The sequence below is a fragment of the Homo sapiens genome, chromosome 3 (assembly GCF_000001405.40).
Source record: "Homo sapiens chromosome 3, GRCh38.p14 Primary Assembly".
Classification (NCBI taxonomy): Eukaryota; Metazoa; Chordata; class Mammalia; order Primates; family Hominidae; genus Homo; species Homo sapiens.
In genome coordinates this window covers 49,879,836-49,885,845 of record NC_000003.12, presented here as the reverse complement: position 1 = coordinate 49,885,845, position 6,010 = coordinate 49,879,836, and the positions used below count along the sequence as shown (strand labels likewise).

Here is a 6,010-nt window from a genome sequence, read left to right as displayed (position 1 = left end):
ATCTCAAAAAAAAAAAAAAAAAAAAAGGAGCCAACTTCAAAGTGCCAACTGCCCCAGCTATTTGTACTTGTAAAGGCCACTGCACAACAGCCCCTAGAGGGGCGTGCTCCTCTGAGAGGGAGACTTTCCCCTCCTCCTCTTCCTCCCTACACTGACTGCTGAGGGGGTAGCTGGGGTGCCAGGGTGCCTGGCCCAGGACCTGGATCACAGTGTTTCTTCTCCCTTGCTCAGGACCCCCATAGCCTCCATCCCTTCAGTTAGGAGACCCCAGCTCACCCTAAGAGGGTAGGCTTCCTTCCCTCGGAGCCCACAGCTCTGTGCCCTGTCAGACATGGAACCCTGGGTTTGGAGCAAGAGCTCCCTGCTAATCAGAGTGAGAGTCTCCTTGGGACCAGAGCTGCCCAGCTTTCTCCATCCAGCTGCTGCTCGCTCTGCCACCTCAGGCCAGAGAGAAGTCCAGTCCTGGGGACTCTAAGGACTCTGAGGACAGGTGGGTAAGGCTTAAAAGGAGATTCTTGCTTGAGTGCAGGGATCCAAAGATCAGGAACCCGTGTGCTGAAGAGGGGCAGAGAAGGACTATCTGTCTGTTTACCACCGTACCTTGGATGACTCTCAGTGCCTCAGCAGGCACTGAGGAGGTTGTAGCCCCGCATGCTTGGCCACTGACCCTTTGTCTCTGTGTGTGCAGGAGACACTTGTGTTACCCCGGAGGCTGCGAGGGAGGTAAGTGGAGTATCCTGGGGCCCATCCCCACCTCAGTTGGAAAGGACTGCCTTCATCCCTCCAACTTGTAGTTCTCCCCTTTAACCCCATCCTGGGGTTCTAAGGATCACCCAAATCTCTTAAGCCCAGGAGCTCCTTCCCCATTGAGCTTCTGCAGCTCATGGACCACTGGCTTATCTGTTCACATGAGGGGCTCAGAGAGAAAGGGAGTCTCTGGACAAGAAGGGAGCTTAGCATGGGAAAGGCTCCCAGAGAAGAGAGATAGGAGAGAAAGAGGGTGTCAGGTGCAGCCAGAATGTAGGGCTTTGGGCCTGCTTCTGGGCCAAGGTCCTCCAGGGCCAGAATTCTCCAGGGAGGGGCCCCAGTTAGGCACTTGGGGCCCTGGATTGTGACACAGCTGCCCCCACTCTCAATTTCTGCAGCCCCTAAGCTCTGAGCTTCATTCTCAGAGCCATCTGATAGTCCCAACCCCATCTGGGGTGTCAGGAGCTCGGACTGTTTTAGGGCTTCAAATCAGTGACTGGGCTACCAGGGAGAACAGGGTAGGGAGGGTCAGTTCTAGGTCCCTGGATGGGCTGGGGGACCATGTGGCTTCCAGGGCTGATGAAGGCTGGGCTGCCTCTCCTCTAGGGGAGGCCTGGGCAGTAGCTCAGGTATGGTGGGTGGCCAGTGCAAGAGGAGGGTTACTAGTGGCCATGGGAGGCCTGGGCCTGCCACCAGGGTGGAATGGTGTGGACAGAGGTTTCTCCTAGGGCTTTCGGAGACCAGCCTTCCAACCAAGAGCTATGAAGAGTAGGTACCTCTCTGTCCCATCTCCCTCCATCTCAGCCCAGTAGGGCTAGGGGCAAGCAGATGCTAATAAAGGCTGAGCAGGCCAGGGTGGGAGCTGGCGCTGAGGAGGCAGCAGATGACTCACACCCTCCTGACTGCCCATTGGTGTCACTGTTCTCTGGAGCCTGGAGGGCGTGCATGGGGCAGACTGACCTGCTTTGATGGGGTACCATGAATCTGGCCTAAGATTCCCCTTATGTCTCGGCCTCAGCCCCAGCCTTTCAGGGAATATTCTGAGGGACCCAAAGGCTCTCTGGGGGTCTATATCAGGCTAGGTCTCTAGAAAGAAATACCTGAGACTAGGTAATTTGTAAGAGGTTTACTTGGCTCACAGTTCTGCAGGCTGTACAGGAAGCATTGTGCCAGCATCTGCTTCTGGGGAGGCCTCAGGAAGCTTACAATCGTGGCAGAAGGCAAAGCGGGAGCAGGCACTTCACATGGTGCAAGTTGGAGGAAGAGAGAGAGAGAGTAGCAGGAAGGTGCCACATACTTTTAAATGACCAGATCTCAAAATAACTCACTGTTATGAAGATAGCACCAAGATGAGGCATCCACCTCCATCACCCAAACACCTCCCATCAGGCCCCACCACCAGCACTGGGGATTGCAATTCAGCATGAGATTGGGGTGGGGACAAATATCCAAACTATATTAGGGTCATACCTGTGGGCTCCAGATATAGCCCCATTCCAAACCCAGTCTCATTGTTGCTCTATGGGAGCTCAGGGGCCAGGCCTGTGGTGGTTCCTATTTTCAGCTCAGGTGGTAGGAGCTGAGGGAAGTTGCTTATTCCTTGGTAAGGCTCAGCATGTGCCAAAGCAGCGGGACCAGTGAGTACCAGAGACTCCCAATGCCAGAGGTATCTTCACCATCTCACCTCTCCACTCTCTTTCAGTTTGGTTTAACCACCTGCATACTCTTTTTTTTTTTAGACAGAGTCTCACTCTGTCACCCAGGCTGGAGTGCCATGGCATGAACTTGGCTCACTGCAACCTCCGCCTCCTGGGTTCAAGCAATTCTGCCTCAGCCTCCTGAGTAGCTGGGATTATAGGCGTGTACCACCATCCCTGGCTAATTATTTTTTATTTTTAGTAGAGATGGGCTTTCATCATGTTGGCCAGGCTGGTCTGGAACACTTGGCCTCAGGTGATCCACCCACCTTAGCCTCCCGAAGTGCTGGGATTACAGGCGTGAGCCACCTCACCTGACCAACCACCTGCATACTTTTGTAGCCAGTCTTGCACTCGGCGTTTGGGATCTGGAGATGCATTAGGGAAGGCAGGGAGCTTAAAGCAGCAGGCGGTCAAGATCATGGGATTCAATCACCCTTGAAACTAATTATCCCTTCCTCATGCCACAAGTCCCTCGTGGGACACTGCACCCTGGACCATGGAGAATCAGAGGCCCCAAAGGAGTCAGCTCCACCCGTGGGCTCCATGGCAGTGGCAGCTTTAGCCAAGCATTAATCCTGCTGACATGTCCCTCAAAGCCAGGGAGCCTTCTCTTCAAAGAGGGAAAGGAATCTTTTGGGTGGCTCCAGTCACCCTGTTCACATGGGCTCCTGCCCTGGTCTCTTCGACCCAGTCATCTGTTTAATTTAAAGTCACTCCCACTGTCCACCGGACCTGGGTTCCATAGGAACCCTGAAGGAGGGCAGCTCTGCTCACATTCCCTCTGCAGGTGTGACTAGAGGTCAGCTCTGCTCAGCAGTCATGAAGCCATGTGTGCTTTTGGCAGTACCACCTTTGCCTCCACTTTTGCTGGCTTCTGGATGTGGGGGCTGTTCCCAGGGAGGGTGAGGAGCTCTCCCAGCCCCTAAGACAGCTGTGGGCAGCAGTCAGGGCGGCTGTGCTGTTGCCTTCCCTCTGGGCTGATGCGGCTGGCCACCTTTCACGCAGAGTTACGTAAGCTCGAGTCAATTGGGGCTCAGAGCAGTTCATTGTGGGCTATTTTTAAGCTGCAACACATCACAGCAGAGGGGTCACTGCACTGCCGGCTTGCAGGGAAGATTGTTTAAACATCTGTTATTTAAATTTCCCTGTGCCTTAGAGCTCAGAAGCCATATCCTGCTAGTACTAGTGGGTTCTGCCTTCCACATTTCAGAATAGGAGTGGATTATCTCCCCTAACCCTGCCTAAGGTTCCCCTAAGGCTGGGGTTCTCTGATACTTCCTGTCTTCCTCTGGGGTCAGACAGGGGGGCCATGGAGCAGGAGGTGCCAGCTCCTTTAATCATAGTCCTGCCTCTGTGGAATGGGTGTATCCTGGCCAGGAGAAATGTCAGGGAAGCAGGAGGTCTAGGTCTAGGGTTCACAGGTCACTTGGATAGCTCCAGGGAGGAAGGTAAGGAGAGGAAGGTAAGGAGTGTGGGCCATAGAGCTAGGAGACCAAGAGTGCATTCCTTCCTCCTTGGGGGGCCTCAGCTTCCCATCAGCACCAAGAGAGGGTTGAATCAAGATACCTTTGAGTCTGTTCAGAAGCCTGCCTTTGCTTGAGCTGTGCTCAAGAGGGAGGGGAATGCCCTCCCTCTGCAGATCTAAATGCTACCCATCTGTCACCTCTGGGGTAGAAGGGCTGATGTATGAACCCCTGGACAGTGGCTGGGGTGCGAACCCGTGGGGAAACATGCCTCCCTTTTTGCTCCATTATCAAGTGAAGGGCTGCACTGGGAGTCCTTTAAGGCTCTTTCTGATCCTAGCTTTTGGAGATGTCCAGACCCTTCCCAATGCAGTAGAAGGCAGGCAGACCGGACGGGTGCAAGGCCAGGGGCTTGACAAAGCTAGCTGCCTCCTGAGAACACAAGGGAGCCGAAAATAGGTCTGTATTGAAGCAGGTGTGGGAGCCAGCTGTAGAGCTCCTAATAGGGTGTGGCGCTGTGCCTCTCCCCTTGACGCCCTTCTTGCCACCTCTCTACTATCCTCAAGACCTCCTAAGTGGGAGGGTTCCAGCCTGATCCACAGGGGAGAAGGGTTTCTCACAGTGATTTGACCCTTGACCCTCTCTGCAGAGGTTGGGGCCTTCCTAGCAAGCCTGCCTAGAGGGGTGAGGTGAAGTGTGAGGAGAAGGTCATGCAGGACTTGCCCTCACAGGGACGCCATCTGGCCTCATCCACAGACTAAGCTCCTCCCAGCTCCTCCTTGCCACCTCCCTCCCACCCCACAGCCCTCAGCCTGGGGAATGGGCTCAGTCTGGGGGAGGGGCTCTCCAGGTTGCCATGGCAACACGTTGGCCCTCCTCACTTCCCAGATTCAGAAATAGAATTGGACGCCCTTCTTCCTGGTGAGACACTATTTAAAAACATGTTGGGGGAGGGGCCGAGGGGCGCTATCCCTAGGGGCTGGGAAGAAGGGACCCAGCCTGAAAGCCTCTTTATTTGCCCTGCTGCTCCTCTCCCCAGCTGGATGAGATGAGCAGGCTTTGGCCAGCTAAGAATTCTGAATACGAAGGATTCAGTCTGGCCCATACTCAGCACCACCAGGTTCCTGGAAGGGCCTCCTCTCAGGCTTGAGCTACCTGATAAGCTATCAGGAGGAGGAGCAGGTCCATGCAGGACCCAGCTTGGGTGTAGGGCTTGCTGCTGCAGAACCCACAATGGAGTCATTTTAGCTCCCCTCCAGCAGGGTCTGTGACTGCCTGGCCCTGAGCATGGCACCCAGTGGTGGCAACACAGGATCCTGAAGTATGAATCCAGAGCCTGGTGGCCTGGCTTCAGATTCTGGCTCCACTACACACTAGCTGAGACAGACCTCTCTCCCTTTCTTTCCTTGCCTTGATTTCCTTATTTGTAAAATGAGGTATGACAGTGCCCAGCTCATTGAATTGCTGTGAGTCTGGGTTGTGAGTGCTCCACGTTGTGCTGGCACAGAGGAAGGACCCCATCAATATCAGTTATTGTTATTATTACTATAAGGGGTGTTTGCTATAAGGACCTTTGCAGCCAGACATGGTGGCCCATGCTTGTAATCCCAGCACTTTGGGAGGCCAAGGTGGGAGGAAGCCAGGAGTTTGAGACCAGCCTAGGCAACAAAGTGAGAACCCTTCTCTATTAAAAAAAAAAAAAAAAATTAGCCAGGTGTGGTGGCTCACACTATCCCAGCTACTCAGAAGGCTGAGTGGTGAGGATTGTTTGAGCCCAGGAGTTCAAGGCTGCAGTGAGCAATGATAATGCCACTGCACTCCAGCCTGGGCAACAGAGTGAGACCTTGCTTCTAAAAATGAAAATAAAAATAAGGGCCTTCTCTATCCTGGCTGCTTCCTTTGGGCCTTCTTTCATGGGCTAGACGCTTCAGCCAGTTCTGCTCCCTTCCCCCAGGAGACCTCAGGCCAGTTGTTTACAAAGGACCACAGTTCTGGAAAGGAGTGTTATGCCCCACCTCTGCAGGAGGTGGACGATGGCTCAGTGGTGAGACAGGCCAGAGGCTCTCAGGACCTCTCTCCATGCCTCTCCAACCCTCCAAG

At 54.2% G+C, this 6,010-nt stretch overlaps 1 annotated feature.

The window, feature by feature from the left end:
- Positions 1,189 to 1,690: an enhancer, noted in NCBI's record as "H3K27ac hESC enhancer chr3:49921589-49922090 (GRCh37/hg19 assembly coordinates)". NCBI's record gives its function as "activates a minimal SCP1, AML or CMV promoter by ChIP-STARR-seq in naive H9 embryonic stem cells {active_cell/tissue: H9 hESC(naive)}" and the evidence as "EXISTENCE:reporter gene assay evidence [ECO:0000049][PMID:30033119]".